Source organism: Homo sapiens, chromosome 16, assembly GCF_000001405.40.
Source record: "Homo sapiens chromosome 16, GRCh38.p14 Primary Assembly".
Lineage (NCBI taxonomy): Eukaryota > Metazoa > Chordata > Mammalia > Primates > Hominidae > Homo > Homo sapiens.
In genome coordinates, this window is record NC_000016.10 from 32,245,907 (window position 1) to 32,264,028 (window position 18,122).

At 44.5% G+C, this 18,122-nt stretch overlaps 1 protein-coding gene across 8 annotated transcripts; it reads left to right on the plus strand.

Annotated features, from left to right (window-relative positions):
- The first annotated feature begins 7,379 nt into the window (after window positions 1–7,379).
- TP53TG3D (TP53 target 3D) lies at window positions 7,380–10,022 on the plus strand. 8 transcript variants are annotated; one of them, NR_158188.2, is made up of 4 exons: window positions 7,380–7,809; window positions 7,915–8,081; window positions 8,488–8,777; window positions 8,985–10,022. NR_158188.2 is itself a non-coding variant. In XM_017023637.3 (3 exons), the coding sequence occupies exons 1-2, from the start codon at window positions 7,448–7,450 to the stop codon at window positions 7,949–7,951; spliced, it is 399 nt and encodes a 132-aa protein (XP_016879126.1). In that variant the 5' UTR covers window positions 7,380–7,447; the 3' UTR covers window positions 7,952–8,081; window positions 8,993–10,022. The 8 variants fall into 8 exon arrangements, 3 of the variants coding, with proteins under 3 accessions (XP_016879126.1, XP_016879123.1, NP_001230651.1); NR_158190.2 differs by having other exon boundaries at window positions 8,993–10,022; NR_158189.2 differs by lacking the exon at window positions 8,488–8,777.
- The last annotated feature ends 8,100 nt before the right edge of the window (window positions 10,023–18,122 follow it).

Sequence of the window (18,122 nt, forward strand, 5' to 3'; positions counted from 1 at the left end):
GCCTAGCCCATATTTTAACATTTTAAAATTTGGTAAAACTTGTTTTGTGTCCTAGTAGGTTATCTACTCAGGAGAATGTTTCATGACCTATTGGAAAAAGTGTGTATTCTGATATTGTTGTGTGAAGTGTTTTTTTTTCTTTTTTTTCACTTCTATTTGTAGCCTACACAGACCTATTGGACTGAACAAAGCAGGGTGAATGCAGGAATAAAAGACAAGAGACAAAGGGGTATATTTGGAAAAAGGGGTCAGGGGCATCTTGCCTCTAGTGAACAAGGTACCTGAGCTTTACACAGCCCTCCATATTTATTAGGTAAGAGAGATAGTGAGAAGCGGGGGGTGGTTTTCCACCAGCAGCTTGATTCACAGCTGACTCGAGAGACTACATTCTTAGAACAATAGGCACTGGATTTCTCAGTAGATAACTTCAAGGAGCCTGGTGCCAGGGAATGAGGCCCTCAGCAAACCTTTTGGTGGCAGGGCAGTGTGAGTTTGCCCACATCCTGCATTCATGATAAACAGTTTGCTGTTTGATCATATAGCCTCCAGTGGAATGCTGAGTTGGTCATGTCCCATGGGCCTTCAGCTTCCTGAATCTATTCACTGTGATGAGTGTTTTCTATATGTCTGTTCGGTTTACAGAGTTTGCTACTGATAGTCGGATAATTATGTCTCTTACTATTTTTGCATAGCTATTTCTTTCTTCATCTGGGTCGATCTTAGCTTTATACATTTGGAAACCCCGATGTGAAGTGTACATATATTTATTATTAACACAGCTTCCCCAGTGAATCAACACTTGTATCATTATATACTATCTTTATTTGTCCTTTAATTCAGTTTTGACTTAATGTGTATTTTGCATAATTATGACCCCTCTTGCTCTCATTTGATTGCAATCTTCCTAGAAGATATTTTTCATACTTGCACTTTTAGCCTATCTGTGTGCTTAGATCTAAAGTGAGTTTCTTATAGACAGCAGAAAACAAATCGTTTTTTCTTTCAATCTCTTTAGCCAATTTACACATTTCTGTTGGAAATTTTACTCTATGTATATATTCATTTTAATTGTGAAAAGAATGGACTACTTCCATTTTGTTAATAGTTCTATTTGTTTCTTGTAGGTATTTTCTCCTCTTTTCTGCTCTTACTGCCTTCCTTTTTATTTAATTGATTTTTATAGTGACATATTTCTATTTAATTTGCCAAGGCCAAGTTGCAAGATAAAAAGTTTGCCTTTAATCTAGTCTCTCCACATCAGATCAAGCCTATGGACAGATCTAAAAACATGAGGTTTCCCTCTTCGGGGGCCCCACTTTTTGGACTGCTGTATGATCTCTGGAGGATTGATGAGTCCACACCAAGCAAAAGTGGACAGCAGTGTTCTACCTGTGAACACTTGTTTCTTGTAGGCCCTACTGTCTCTCAGGGCACCACCTCTCTTATCCTTTAAACAGGAGTGATATTGGCAGAGAAGGGGCATTCACTCCTATCTGGCAGAAAAGGAGGATTCAGGCCCTTTAACCTCCCTAAGGTCAGAAAAGTCAGAGCCCTCAGAGATGCACTTGCAATGTGGCAGCCACTGGGCACAGGGGCTACTGAGCAACTGTATTGTGCCCAGCATGAACTAAGATATGCTGGGGAGAAATACAAGAAAATATTTAAATATTTAGTAACATATACAAATGTGCATAAAAATATATAATGCTGGGTTAAAGAAACATATGTCTATGTGTGTGTACGTATATATGTACACATATATATGTTTCTTTAATTATTTCATTCTGATTATATGTTAAAATATTTTGGATATATTGAGCTATGTTGTTAACATCAATTTCACTCATTTTTCTTTTTCTTTATGCTGCTACTAGTAAATTCTAATTGTCACATGTGGCTCACATTTTACTTCTATTGCACATTGGTGCAATAGAGGATTGCCTAATTTCAAAGCTCAGTTTGCCTCAAAAGCCAAGAGGCCAGAAAGATTGTAAAATCTAAAAATTAAAAATAATTGTAATTGGTTGGGCATGGTGGCTCATGCCTGTTATGCTAGCACTTTGGGAGGCCGAGGCAGGCGGATCACTTGACCTCGGTTCGAAACCAGCCTGGTCAACATGGTGAAACCATGTCTCTACTAAAAATACAAAAATTAGCTGGGCAACATGGTGGGTGCCTGTATCCCAGCTACCTGGGAGGCTGAGGCAGAAGAATCACTTGAACCTGGCAGGCGGAGGTTGCAGTGAGCCAATATCTCATCACTGTACTCGAGCCTGGGTGACAGAGTGAGACTCTGTCTCAAAAAAATGTAAATAAAAATAAAAATAATTGTTATTATTTTGTTTCTATTTTGAATAATACACACACACACCCCTCCCCCTTCACACACACACAAATAAGGCAGAGAAAGAAAGAGAGAATCTTGTTCTGTCACCCAGGCTGCAGTGCAGTGGCCTGATCTCAGCTCACTGCAGCCTCTACCTCCCAGGCTTAAGTGACCCTCCCACCTCTGCCTCCCAAGTAGCTGGGACCACAGACACGTGTGACCATGCCTGGCTAATTTTTTCATTTTTTTGTAGAAAAGTTTTGATGTGGGGCCCTCACATTCTGTTGCCCAGGCTGGTCCCAAACGCCTGGATTCAAGAGCTCCTGTCCCCTCAGCCTACCAAAGTGCTGGTATTAAAGGTGAGATCCACTATGCCTGGCCACATATATACAACTTATAAATAAAAATAACCTTATATACAAGGTTAAATGCAAATATCCCACAGTGAAGGCCGGGCTTCAGCATAAGGAGGAAGTCCTGCCTGAAAAAGGCTGCGGCTTGGAACATTTTACCCTGTTGTCATCTGGCTATGAGTTGGCTCACATCTTCTCTCATTCAGAACCTGAAGGGGTGGGGCCTGGGGCCGTATTATCCAATCACTAGTGCTGGGGTAAAAACTGTCTTAAAACTATTCTTTTAATGCTTAGCAATACTAATTTTTAGTGAGAAACTTAAGATTACTTAATTTAACATAACCAGACTTTAAGATTTTAAATTACTAAAAAAAAAAAAAAAGAAACTTAAAACGATGACAGAGTTACTTCCTCTAATGTTTTTTGGTGAGGGTTTCAAATACCTATGTCATATATTGAAACCTACAGTTCTATAAGCCCTACCCTTAAATCAAAACAACCCTGATGCTATTGTGAACAGGTACTTAGCATAAATCCTACCCTTAGGCAAATTTATATAGTGATTTCAATTGTCCTTCACATTCCCTTTCCTGTGATAAGTGTCTGGGTTTAGGGGGTCACAGTGTGAGGTTCCACCATCTTCAGCTATCTGAGACATAGCTTCTATTAATAAATGTTCCTCTTAAATGTTTCTTTCTGAGAAACTTGATTTGTCAGCCTCATTCTTCAAACTCTCAGCTCCTTTGGCCTTTAAAGGTAGGTATATATATATATATATATATATATATATATATATATATATATACTCACAAGAAAACACCCTCATATATATAGTCTGTCAATTTCTCAAACATTGTTATGTGGTTCATGACTGTAATGTGTGCCACATGTAGTTTTGTACATGAATAGTATATTTTTTATAGCTACTTTCTATTACACATCACTAAAATACATGTTCAGTAAGTGCTCACTTAACATCATTGATAGGTCCCTGGAAACTGACTTTAAGTGAAACAAAATACTATATGCCATGGAAAATTAACTCTTGTTTATATCAATTAGCCAATGGTAAAATTGGTTTTATTATATAGTACATTGTTTTACTTAAAGTCACAGTTTCTGAGAATCTATCAAAAAAGGGAGAACATACTGTCATTAGTATTACAGTATATGGTACATTATAGCATTACACTATTATAGTATGTTATTGTAGTCTTAGCAATTGGTAGTATAATGTGTTTCAGTTTCTCCCAAGGTCACAGAATTATCCAGACCAACCAATAACAACTTCCTGTGGGAACCAGGTGCATCTCACCCTCTTGATACTACAAAGCCTTCCCCAACACCCCCTGTTTGTTCTCTCTGCTCCCAAGTGCAATCCCTGTGTGGGTCTGTATACCTTATATAATTTCCTTCTTCCATGATTATATGTAACGAATAACTGCTGTCAATCTCATTTGTCCAATGATTGGTGCCATGGTTTTAACTGTTCCAGTAGTACAAGGGTGGTAATTTATCCCTCACCAATGGGGTAAAGGGGAGGCTAATCAAACAATTCACAATACAAACTGGATTAACCAACTATGACTGAGGACATCGGCTCAACTTTAACTGCTTTTGGCCTACTGATTTCATGATACATTAAAAGTCACCTCAGTCAGAGCCACCAGTTTCTGGTGGGCTTTTGCTTTGGTCTAAATAGCCATTTGTGGCCTTTATCATGAGTTGCCTTCCCTGACCACATTAAAGCACACTCATCACCTAGACATATATGGTCAGTTGACTCTGCTGCAGCCTGATGTGTCATCATATTTAGCCTTTGTTTGGCATGCAGCTTGCAAGACACTTGCCTTTCAAGGCAGTGAAAACACAGAACCTTAATCAGTGAGTACTTCAGTCCTGATTACCAAGAGTCAGGCTATATCCCTGTGGTCACTTCATCTGGTCTGCTTACCATTACTAAATGCCCGGGTAGTCATATGAACATTGCTTATTATTGCACACTCTCAGGAAAGGCCCAGGGATGGTTTTTTGTAAAATTGCAAAAAACAAAAAGGACTTTTACTTTGGAGAGAATTATGCACGTCACTCAGTTGCTCTAACAAGTGCTACCGTCATGGGAGCAAGAACAGTGACCTTGTCTTTCCTGAGCTGCCGCTTCCTTTGCTCCTGTCACATGCACTCTCACGATGAGGGGCTCATTCCTTGTGCCTTATGGTTCAGGCACTGATGAGAAATAAAAAAGAGAAAGATAACTTAATATTAGTCCCTCCCAAAACTTACTGGGTAATTCTCTCATCCTAAATCCCCTACTCATCGTGTAGGCTTTTAGCACTGCTGCTTACCAGTATGCTAAAGGTGCAGACTTAGGATCAGAAGTTTGATGAACTCAAACAAAAAGACCACAATGCATATGGGTGCTAATCCCAGTGAAATGGAGTGGCAGTAAACACCTTCAACCAAAGAGAAAACAGATCACAAATAAACAAATAATGACACAACTCAAGAAACTAGAGGAGGAAGAACTTATCCCAACGTTCCCAGATAATAAAATTAGTAAAAAAAATCGGAGCAGAAATGAATACACTGAAGATTAGAAAAACAATAGAAAATGTAGAAAAATTGTAAGAGCTTGTTTTATGAAAACATGAAGTTGACATATCTTTAGCTAGACTAAGAAATAAATGCTTAAATAAATAAAATCAGAATTAAAGGGAATACATTACAACTGGTAAAACAGAAATAAAAAAAGGTCATAAGACTGCTATGTACACAGACTCCTATGTACAATGATATCCCACCAAATGGGATAAGGGAGAAGACATGAATATATTTCTAGACAAGTACCACCCACCAAGACTGAAGCATAAAGAAATAGAAAATATGAATAGATCAGTAATGGGTAAGGAGTTTAGATCTGATGACTTTGTTGCTGAATTCTACTAAACATTTAAAAAGAACCAAATCTTTGAAAAAATTGAAGGAGGAGGAATACTTCCAAACTCATTTTATGAAGCCAGCATTACACTGATACAAAAACCAGAGATGGACATTACAAGAAAAACAATTACAGGCCAATATCCCTGATGAACATAGATGAAAAATCATCCACAACGTAGTTGCAAATGAAATTCAAAAGCACTTTAAAAGGATCATTTATTATGATCAAGTTGGATTTATTCCTGGGATGCAATAATATTTTAATATGTGGAAATCAATAAATGCCATACTCCTTATTTACACAACAAAAAGATTAAAAATCATGACTTTTTTATGCATGCCTAAAATTATTTTGACAAAATTTAAAATCCATTCCAAATAAAATCTATAACAAATTAGGTATAGAAAGAATATACCTCAAAATAAAGAGATATGTTCTTTATAAGCTATAGGACAATCCCATGGTTAACATTATTGTCAATGGTGAAATTTTGGAATTATTTTTAAGATTTATTATAAGAAAAAGATGCCCACTCTCACTACTTCTTTCAACACCGTATTGGAAATCCTGCTCAGAATCTAAGACAAGAGAAAAAAGAGCATTTAAATAAGAAACAACAAGTTCTTCTATTCATGGAGATTAACGCTCAGGTTTTTGCAGATTAGATTTAACAGCATGAAATCTGGTACCATCCAGGAATCAAAGGATATAGGACTTTAGGGCATCAATTATTAAGAGGCTATAGGAAAGCAGAAATGCTCCTGGATGTTTCCATTGTCCACACACAAAATTTCAACAGACCAGCCCCAGGAAGTAAAGGCACATTCCTGACTACTGTTAGTTGATGAGCTTTTCACCAAAAGCAGAGATGTGAGACCTGGCAGGTTTCAAAGACCCCTCAAGTGCTCCATACCTTGAAATTCACTTCCACAAAGCTAGAACACCATCTGTTCCTGAGGGATCAGGTTATCGTCTGTTTCTTTTAGGCACTGGCCAGTCAGGCTTTAGTGGACACGAAGCCACAGATTTTTAGTGTAAAATGCCTAATCTATCATAATCTTTAGGTAGATATTTGGAGGCCTGCACACTTAAATGGGTTGGTGAAATGTCATACCAGACACATGGCTGGGAATTGGGTTTTTCTCCTCCGCTCTTAGCAGCACCTTTGTAACCCAGTGATTACCCCCCTCATGGCTCCACGGCCACATCCGCAAAAAGGGTACTGGTGAACGTGACATTTTCACGAAGCCACAGCCCATGGTCACTCCCTGCAAAGCTCTGAACTTGCGCATTCCCAGGCCAGGCCGTGGTTGTCTTTCCAAGGCGGCTCAGCTTGTGCTTTGCTTGGAGAGAGCGGAGGGCAGCAGCACAGTGACAGCGTCTGGGACCTCAGACCAGTTTCCACAGCCACTTATGAAAGCAGACGGCTCCATGGGCTGGAGGAGGTGGGACGCTCTGGAAAGAACTCGGGTGCGAGTGGGAAAGAAAATCGAGCTGAGCAGCGGGAAGTCGAAGTCGCGTGAGTGAGGACCAGACACTCTCGATTTAGGCAAAGGCGGGGTGCACTTCCCAACAACACATCCTCCTCACTGGCGAGACCAGGCCTGCCCTTCAAGTTCCTCTCCTGATTTAATCCCCTTGGCGAGGGTTTGGCATGAAATCAATGGCCAGCAAGCTTGGTAAACGAAGCCGCCTACACCGCCCTCCCCCTCCCTGCACGGCCGCGCCCCGCCTCCGCTCCTGTCTCAATCTGGGATTGTCCTCCTGTAGCCCCACCATCCACCGTGGGGAACGGTGGAGAGACTACAACTCCCAGTATGCACCGCGATGCGCGCCTCACCCTGCATCTCCCAGCCCGCAGCCAGCTGGCATCCTAGACCCTCTGCCCTGCGACCAACAGCCGGGAGCGGACCAGACACCAGAACTCCCGGAACGGTTGAAGACGGTTCCGCTCCCTGTCCCGCCTTTCGCAGCCCAGCAGTTTCGCCCTGCGGAGAGGAGCCTTGCTGTTTCCAAATCTCTCCTGCTGAAGAGACATTGGAGCTAGGGCGGCTAGTTTCACCTGGTAATTGTGACACCCTGTCTCCTCGAGCTGCAGGCTTTTATGCTTGTCATGTTCGAAGTTTGATACCTTGCAGATCAACAAAGGGTCGGTGGCCTCTCACTGCCTCCGCGGCAGGGTTGTCAAGGTAACGCTCCTCAGACAAGGGTGGGGCGCGGCCCGCCCCTTTTCTCACCCCGCCTCCTCCTCAGCCCCACCCTCCTTCGCTCCTCCTCTTGTCACTCCCTTTCAGACATGCGCAGTGCGGCCCGTCCCTAGGGCTGGGTTAAGGGCCGCGGATGTGGCAGTTCTCAGGCCTCTTGGGATCGCCTCAAGAAGCCCCCTCACGAGTGTCTCGATTTCCTGTCAGCCAACAAAGGGCCGTTCGCCTTTCATGGCCTCCACAGCAGCGTTGCCGTGGTAACGATCCTCCGCCGGACGTTGGCCGCACCGCGCCCCTATTCTTGCCCATCTCCCGCTCCGCCCCGTCCCTTCTCGCTCCTCCCTCTTGTCACACCCGTTCAGACATGGGTAGTGTAGCCCGTCCCTAGCGGCGGGATAAAAGTCCTGCCCTTTCACACATGCGCAGTGCACCCATTCCTAGGGGTGGGGCTAAGGGGCCTGCCCTTTCGGAAATGCGCAGTGCAGCCCGTCCCTAGGTGTAGGGTAATGGCGGCCGACCTGGCAGGTCTCAGGCTCCTTGGGATCCCCTCGAGAAGCCCGTTCATGAGTGTCTGAAACTGTCACTTGACTGCCAGAAGTGAAAACATCGTGTCCCTAGTCACCTGCCATTTGCCTTTTCAAAACCATTTCCTCTGTTCTCTAGGCTGTCACAAATTCTCTGCACCCCAGGAGTGCCGCTTGGACCCCCGGGCTCGCTGCGTGGTCCATATCTAGGTCGGGCCTCTCACGGAGACTTTCCCACCAGTGTAATAAAGAGGAGAAAACGTCACAGCGGAAGGGCCTGACCCTGCTGCATCCACTAAGGAAACAGCTACGGGGATGGGACCCTGGAAGCTGCTGTGGGAGCCTCATCCACCGCTTCTCTGACCCCACCCAGGCTGCTTCCCAGGCCTCAGGGTCTTAGTGTGGACCTCCGGGCCGTGATTAATGCAGGTCAGCAGGACCAGAGCGCCCCTTGGTCCCTCCCAACACATGAGGGTAGTTTGTGTGGTGAGGTCAGGGATAGTGTCTGCGCTTCTACCCTGAATAGGGCTCCCTTGGAAAATAATATCTCTTTTTAAATACCCCCTTGGACCACTTTTAATAGTTTTCTGATAGAACTAAACAGTGATCATTCTCTTAATTCATGTTTCCATTAAGTTTTTCAGGTTAAGTACTGCACGACTACTCGCTTCTGAAACTGATAGACACTGCCTCAGCTCCGTGCAGGGCAGACGCACAAGAGCAGAATCTCCGTGGGACATCTCTCTGGAGCATCAATATTACTGCAGTATTTGGAAGAAACAAATTTAAATAAGTTCTAAGGTAAAGAATGGAACATTTAAGACAAGTCTGGAAAGTCATCTGCCTTTAATAACTGTCGTTTGTCCTTAACGTCAGACTTTCTCCAAGACAAAAACTCTAAGAACTTATTTCCATTCTTACAAATAGTAAAAATGATAAATCATATCAAGTCAATTGAAAGTCCTGCCTGCTGCTTTCCTAAATCACAATATGGCCTTGGTATGGTTTTATTTGTACTTTTGTGGGGGATTCGTGGATCTTTAGATTAAAAAAAAAAATAGGTTTTTGAACAATTTTTGCAAGTTTGCAGCTGTTAGTTATTGATTTATTTTTGCAACCCATCTAATTCTTCTGTCTCTCTCCTCTCCTCAGGCTCAATAATTCCATGGGTCTCTAAGGCTGTGTTTATTTTCTTTAAATTTTGTTGATTTACTTTTATACTCCATTTGATTTTTTCTATCTCTCACCTTTTCTCAGACTCAGTCATCCCACAGGTCTGTAAGGCTCTGTTCATTTTCTTTAAACTTTTTTTTTTCCTCTCCTCAGATTGGATAAATTATATTGCTATGTCTCTGTTTCTGAACTATAGAAAAGCTCAAAATTACTATTTTTATTTCTCATTTTTTATATGGCTATTTTTTCTCTGCTGATGTTTCACATCTATTCATTTATGAGAATATTTTCCTTTGCCCTCATGAGCGTGTTTATAATAGCTGCCTTCAAATTCTTGTCTGCCGTTTACATCTTGGACATCTTGGAGATGGCTACTGCCTGCTTTTTATCTTGTGTATTTATTACATTTTCACGTGTCTTCACGCATCTCTTGAATTGGAAATTGTGCCCTGGAGACTGTATACAAGACTGGATTAAAAAGACTGGATTCTGTTTTGTCCCTGTGAAGAGTGTTGTTTTTAAAAGATGGTGTTAAATGGGCTGGATTCTATCTTCAATACTTATCTCTCCTATGGAAGTCATAGCCAAAATATGCATTCAGTTTTTATATACACATATTTCATGTATGTATTGTATATAGAAATGTTTCTATAATGATATATAATAATTTACCCAGGATTCATCATTTTTCTGTGTGAGAGTGTTAGTTCAGTTAGCTACTTCATCATTAGTGGAAGCCAGAACCTCAGTTTTGATTTTTGAGTGTAATATAAAAAATTACACAGTATGGATACTTTTACATCAATTTTTAATGCAATATTATATTTGTGATATTTATGCTGTTACAGATATCTACAGTTTGTTCATTTAAAAAAGTCCTTTTTTACATTGTGGTAAAATATACATAAAATTAACCATTTTAACAATTTTTAAAAGTGCAGGACAGAGGAATTAATCATACTCACATTGTTCTACAACCATCATCCACATTCATAGGGAAATTTGTTCATTTTGCAAAACTCAAACTCTGTTCCCGTTACCTTCCTTTTGGCCTCTAGGAACTACTCTTCTACTTTGAGTTTCTATGAATGGAACTACTGTAAGTACCTCATATGAGTGGAATCATACAATGTAGTAAAGAAATCACGAGGAAGAATAATACACACTGTATAACATGCTTATTAATTTAAATAAACAGAGATCAGTAGTACATGGTGATTATAGAGAAAGACAGATAAAAAAGAAAAAGCAGTTAGAAGGGTGTGTAAAATTTATCACTATGGTGTCTCAAGTTTTAGAGCAGTGAGGCCCCGGCCCCAGACACATTACTGGTCATGGTGAAGCTGGGAGCCCAGTGCAGCTGTCTGACTCCCAAAGCCAACACTCAGGCCAAATGTCACTGAGCCCTGAGGCACTCTGCCCCTGCCAGCCCAGGCACTCAATGGCCCTGAGATTCACCATGGCCTGTTCTTGGTCTTGAGGGTGTTGCTGGCCTGCTGGAATAGGGGCCCGTCTGACAAAACAAGTAGGAGGAGCTTCAGAAAATAGTGGCAGCTGTGAGGCTACCAGGAGCCACACCTCAGGCTTCCCACTGCCTGCCCAGGGTCCCCATGCAGCAGGCCTAATGTTGACCAGGGAGCTATGGCCCCAGGTTCTCTGAAGCTGGCCACAAGATAGAGTCTTCTCCTAGTCTTTGCTAATCTGCTAGGCCCTCATCTTTTATTCTGACTGTGCAGCTTCATGCACTGGAACCAAACCCCAAATTCCTCCTCAGTCAGAAGATGACAATTATCTCTTGTCACTGAAGCAGCTGCATTTCCTGGAGGACTTTGATCTGGAGACAGAAGGAAGGGCAGGATTCTGACAGGTCCTGGGTGGAAGATGACAAAGGGAACTTGTGGGGGTGTGAAGGGGTAGGGACAATTTCTAGGGCCTTTCTTTTAAGGGGTCCTACCCTCCCCTCCAATCCCATGTAGCCCCAACCTGTTCTCAAGAGTTGGATATAAACAGTCCCTCCTCTAGGAGTTTATCATTGATTCTATTCCCCTAATCAAACCCTCCATTGGGATGGGTCTCCTGCTTCTCTGTGTATCAAACCTTCCCAATAAATCTAAGATGCAGAGGATGGAGCCAAGGAGTGTCTTCCTCAGGGTGGTGTCTGACTTTCACATCCCCACCCTCCCTCAAAGCGACAGCGCCAGCTGCTCACCTTCTTCCTTTATTAGTGTTGATTATATGTTCTTAGGAGGTAGACAGCCAAGATTCATGAGAAAGGCTTCCTGACACAGGACTAGACCTCATCCCTTATACTTCCTATGCTGCACCACCACCAGGGCCACCAGGGTCAGAGCATGTGCATAAAACAGGACTTAGACCTGCATCAGGTTCTGGGCTCCACAGAAGGGACACTGAGGCTCAGTGACCTTTCTCCCTGATTCTCTGTGATGATAGACAGGGAGACAAAGGCCTTGGAAACAAAGAAGTTACTCAACAATTTAGGACCTGCCTGTCTTAGGAGGGGCCCAATTTCTCTCTTCTGCAATGGGTACCAGCTAAGGCAGAGGCTGAGACTTAGCTCTGCAGCTTTACTACTCAAGGAACAGGAAATGGTGTCTTTGCTGGAGGCTCCGTCACTCATAGATAAGACGGAACTGACACTGCCATTTACAGGGGCATCTGGTAGGCTCTCAGGAAAGGGGTTTGCTGAGTGCTGCAGTCTCAGGATTCAGTCCAGGACTCTGTCCTCGCAAGCTTCAGGATCCTGGTCCCCACCCTGCCTGCCTGCCCCAGTCTCACTCACATCTATATAATCCTCTATGGCAATTTCCAGCATCTGCAGGTTGTTGAGAAGTGTGCCCGGGGTGGGGGGTGGGGGGGAGGGGAGTGGGGGCACAGCAGCCTGTGTTATCAAGGTGGTAGCAGTGATGAGCACCAATTCTCAGCTAACTGCACAAGACCTCTCCTTTGAACTCTCACCAACCTATTTCTCCTTGACCCCCGTACCCAAGTCTCTCACTCAGAGCATCCAAGGACCTTTCACCTCCTTGCCCAAAATCTTTCCCTCCTCTTTCCACAGCTGACCTCCAAAGACGCTAAGCACTTCTTAGTTACCTCTATGGTGTGATTTTAATAAATCACAAAGTCAGATCGTCCCCACCCTCACTCTTCGTCTAATCTACTCTGAGCCTAGCTCTCCCAGGCCCTTTCTCTAGTCTCTCTAATGAAGGCATTCCAAGCATTGTGGCCACAGGAGGGCAGGGCTGGAGGAGGAAGACACCCAGGTCTCTTGATGTGGAGAACTCCAGCTGGGAGGGAGGAGCCCTGTCCTTGACTCTCTGGAGCCCCTCCCTACCATAGGCCAATTCACCTGCTGCTGCAGCCCCATCTGGACTCTTTAAAAAGGTTCCTACCTAGTAGAGTCAGAAACAGGGTCAGTGAGACTGTGCCTGTCTCACAGTTACACTCCAGCCCCAGCGACCTCAGATCTTGGATAACTGCCTGAGTCAGCCGGTGTAATGCTCCCACCAGCTCCAGTGAGTCCTGATTCTAGATTTACTCCCAGCTTTAACACTCACTGTGTGTGTAACCTTGGGCATGCAGCCAGGCCTTCCTGAAACTGTTTTTTCATCTAGGAAGTGTGATGAGAACAACACCTTCCTCACAGTACCTCCTGAGGACTCAGTTGCATGTGGCTATCACCATTGTTCTCACCATCATCCCTCTCAGGAAGAGGTGGGCACAAGAATTCTGAAGTTTCCTTCATCCTTTGCCCCTTATCATGACCCTGTGAGGCCTGCACAACAGGCTTTCTGCATTTTCCAGTTGAGGAGACAGGCCCAAAGAGGGTGTTGACTTGCCCAGGAGCCCACAGGAGAGGCTGTCTTCTCCTCCCACCTGAAGAGTCTGCCCTACCTGGCTTCACACCACACACCAGCACCATCACTGACCAGGGTCCCATCCTCTGGACTCTGGGATAGATGTTCACATCCCAATCCAGGCCCAGCTGTGGTGGAAAGAAACCTGGTATCTTGGGAGGCCTGGTTGAGCAGTGCCAGCTTGTCCCAGCTTCACTGGAATTGCTATCCCACAAATTGGGTTTGAGGCTATGAAGAAGACTTCACCTCTTCGATGATCCACCGAGAGAGATTCCCACACAGAGCTCTCTCTTTATCCACTCCCTGCAGTTGGCCTGCCAGTGAAATCACACCTGTGCAGTAGTCAGGCCTCCTGGCCCACCCGCCAGCTGCCAGCCTCCAGTGTCTCTGATACCCATGGGTAATCATGCCTTCCTTGGCAAGGCTGCTGAGATTCAGAAGGACCTAAACAGATCTTTGGCTCAGATGGGTTGCTTCAGCCTTGTGTCCTTGGCCATCTTCCCTTGCCTTCCGAAGGGCCCTGCCAGCCTCACTGTACCAAGCCCTGACCCTAGTGGTCTCTCCGTGGGGACCACATCTCACCCACCCTCCATTGCCAGGGCTCCTGCTCAGCTCTTCTCACTTTCCCAGGACAAGCCTGGCTTCACAGACACATCTAGATCCAGCGCTTTTCTCTTCGTGGTGTTCAAAGAAAGAGTATTATTTTTTCTCTAACTTGACCTATAACCTACTTATTTTGAAGATATCCAGGCTGCAGGAGATCTCTACCCATCTACCCAGAAGGCATCAGCCCTTGCTTCAGTACCTTCTCATTCCACTCTGTCACTAAATGTTTATGACCTCAAGAAAATTTGAAGAAGCATAAGCAAGTGCAATTCCATTGGTACCAGGGCTGTAAGGGTGGGGCCAGATGGGTGAACCTCACTGGGGATAAATAGAAATTGTGTACAAGATGGACATTTCAAGGTTGGTTTCAAGAAACACAGGGAAAGCTAACTTTCATAGGTGACAGTATGCACAAGTTAAGCTTCCTAACAGCCACAAGTTCACAGGTTCTTCTATCTAAATGTGGCAATGTGTGACGATGTCTGAATGGCCATAATACACATACATAGAGTAATTTATAGCATTCATTTTTGTATTAGAAATTGTGCATTTCAGCCACAAGTTTTTTGTACATGATGGATAGTCCCACATTGCTTGAAGATTGGAAGAGAGAGCACTTTATGAAATGTCCTTTTGGACACATTTTCATTGACGTTTCTATGTCCCAAGAGGCAATGAGACAAGTCATGATAAACTGGCCGTGTCTTCTGGGGTTACACCTGAACTTCTCGGTGTCAGGACCGAGGAAATCAAGGACACAGATATGCCAAAGGTGAGGTTAGAGCAAAAGTTTAATGGGTGAGAAAAAGAGAACAGCTCTCTGCTGCAGAGAGGGATCCAGAAAAAAAGAGTTGCCATTCTGCAGTGAAATACAAGTGTTTTTATAGATGAGCTAGTGGGAGGGGGTATGTTATCCACATAGGGCATGAAAAACTGGTTAGGACCAGGTGTGTCATCTGCTTAGAGCATGAATCTCTGGCAGCTCACACCCCAACCTTTTATTATGCAGGCAGATTCTCAGCCTGAGCTACTCCAAGTTGCTTATCTCTTTTCTACTGTGCATATGCTACAAAGAGGGGTGGGGCCCCCCATGTTGGATATGTCTGGCCCAAGGTGGTCATTTCTACCCATGCAGCTGCAGGCATCCCTGCCCACACAAGCTTCCAGCTTCCTTTTGTATGATTGCAGCCCAATTTTCCAGGCTGCTCTTTGTTAAAGAGAAGTGAATTCCTGGGTTGCTTTCTGTTAGAAGGGACGTTCTGTTGAGAACTCTTTGCTCTATCTGCCTAGCTAGTTTCTTTCTACATCTGCTCTCAATGACAATTATTCAGTTTTAATGGGGTCCTGGGGGTGGGAACAGATAAATTTGAGACCACAAAGTACCTTAGAATAAGAATTCACCCTTTAGTCAGCTTTAGTGTGAGTTGCACATCTATTATAATATTGGCTTCATGCACTACTGAATATAACAAGAAGGGAAAATGTGTATCTTTTAAAAATCTAGATGACAAATGGACTTTCCACAGATTCTTTGTGTGTTCCTGATTTAGAATTTGTTCATTCCACTGTAGTTTGTTTTCATTGAAATCACCAACTGATGAGGAAGCCTAGGCTGGCAAGCAGGACACTGTGGATTATTTGCAGGAAAGGTGTTTTTGTGGGGACCCTAAAGGGTCAGGCACTGCAGCCCACAGGAAAGCCTCAGCCATGATTCTCTGTGGCACTGCTCTGGTGGGGTAAGGCAGCCATGCAAAGCTCTGATTCCCTGTCCTGAAGGGTGACATTGGCCGGGCAAGCTCCAGCCTTCAGGAAAAAAGGACAGACAAGGGAGTGCTTCACGTTCCGGCCTTGTCATGAGCTCCACCGGCAGCCTGCAGCGGGGCACAGCTTCTAGGTGCCTGGTCAGCTCTGGTCCTTCAGGAGGTGAAAATGACTTTTCTCCTGGATTCTCTGCCCTGTTGGCTGGGCCTGGGAAGGACTCAAGGTCTGCATGGCAGTTTCTGAGTCTCCAGCACCCAGCTGTCTCATTGTGATGATGACAGGGAGAATGACCAGAAGTACCGGGGTGGGGAAAACGAAGAGCCAGCAGGAGAAGGCGAGCTTCCAGAAAGCCCCACCACAAATGCTTAGTGCCTGGGTAGGCACGGGGATCGCTGGGTTTTGCCTGGGAGCAAGTCCATAGGCCCTGCTGGAGATTGCCAAGATAACCACCCCCTGCCAGAGGTCACCAGGGATTGCCTGAAAACCTTCGGAAATGATGCATGCCCCTATTGCTCAAAAACTGGAAGAAGCTGCAGCCTCAGCAGGCTATCCAGGCCACTGAGTGGGGCAGCGGGCCTACACTGAGTGGACTCCTGCATTGGCAGTAGGCAGCTCTCCTGACCCATCCACCAGCTGTCTGCTTCCAGTGAGCAAGATCTTCAAGGCTGATCAGACCTCCAGTTGGCAGGGCTGATGAGATTCAGTGCGACCTGGTCAGATCTTTGGCCCAGATGAGCCACTTGAGTTTCAGTGTCCTGGGCCAACTTTCCTGGCCTTCAGAGGGCCCCTGCCAGCCTGAGTGAGCCAGGCTTGGCTGCATCTTCCTGGGAGCCCCATCTCACCTGCCCTCCATCCCCAGGACTCCTGCTCAGCACTTCTTACTTTCCCAGGACAAGCCTGGCTCCAACAGACATCTCTAGATGCTGTGTTTCTCTTTGTGGTGAGCAAAGAAACAGAATGAGTTCCATTTTTTAATTTTTTTCTAATTTTACCTATAACTTATTTATTGTAAAAAGGTTTGGGCTGCAGGAGACCTGACCCACCCACGCAGGAGGCCTCAGTAGCCTCCCAATCCACCCTGTTACTAAATATTTCCACTCCTAACAATATAGGGGGAAGCAGGAGCAAGTGCAGTTTCACTGCACCAGTGCTGTGAGGATGGGGCCAGAAGGGTCCTACCCAGTAGGATTCAATAGGAATTATATAGAAATAAACATCTCAATGTTTGTTTGGACGGATTGACATGGAGAAATTTAATTTTGATAGGTTCTAGTACACAGAAGTTAAGCTTCCTAACAGCCATGAGTTTACAGCTTCCTCTTTCTGAATTTGGCAGTGTTTTTGATGTCCAAATTGCCACGATGTCTACACATATTTACAATAGTTTATATTATTCATTTTGTATTACTAATTGTGCACTTTGGCCAACAGTGTTTCATACATCATGGTTGGTTTCCAACCTCGCTTGAAAATTGGAAGTGACAGCCCTTTATGGAATGTTGCTTTTGACACTCTTCCATTTAAGGCTCTGTGTCCCCACAGTGTTACGAAGACAAATAGTCATCACTCTTCCATTTTGAGGGGGCCAGGGTAAGCAGATGCAATTTGAGAATACAAAGTACCTTGGAAACAGAATCATCTTTCAATCAGTTTTAGTGTGAATTTCATTTACATTAGAATAGTCTGTTCATGCACTCATAAGATTTCAGGGAGGGACAATTGTCACCTTTGAAGAATCAAAGTGACCAATGGGCTTCCCTCAGTATTTTGTTTATTTGTTTCTGGAACTTAGTCATGCCATTGTAGATCGTTTCTTTTGGAATCACTGGGTGATGAGAAACCCCAGGCTGGAGAGCTGGACACCGTGGAGTCCCTGCGGGAGAAGTGTTATTAGGGTGGCCTAACTTGGAAGGCACTACAGCCTGTGGGAAAGCAGCATCCAAGATTCTCTCTGGCGTGGCCGGGTGCTGGGTGAGGTAGTCAGCCCAACAGCTTATTCTGTGTCTGGAATGGTGACTCCCAGCCTGGGCATGGCTTCAGTTTCCAGGAAACAGGCACGGGCCAGGGAGCGCCTTACCTGTTTACTGCTGCGATGTGTGGGGCCTGTATCCGCCACTGGGCACGCCACCTCTTCAAGTAGGGTCCTGTGCATTCCTTTTGGAGGCTTCAAAAGACTTTCCTCTCTGACTCCCGGCGTCTTCACCTGGACAATGTAGGATCCCAGATCTGTGTGTTTCCCAAGTGTCTATAGCGCCAGGTGCCCCATTGTGACAGGGAAGATGACCAAATTAAGTGATTAGGGCCGTTTGAAAAAAAAGCAGGAGAGATGCTGTATGGAGGAGGCCTGACATGACTGCCT

Coding starts and splice junctions, on each gene's coding strand:
- TP53TG3D (XM_017023634.3), top strand. CDS start 7,448: ATGCGCGCCTCACCCTGCATCTCCCAGCCCGCAGCCAGCTGGCATCCT. Junction 7,810..8,487: donor TCCGCGGCAGGGTTGTCAAG/GTAACGCTCCTC, acceptor TCTGTTCTCTAG/GCTGTCACAAATTCTCTGCA.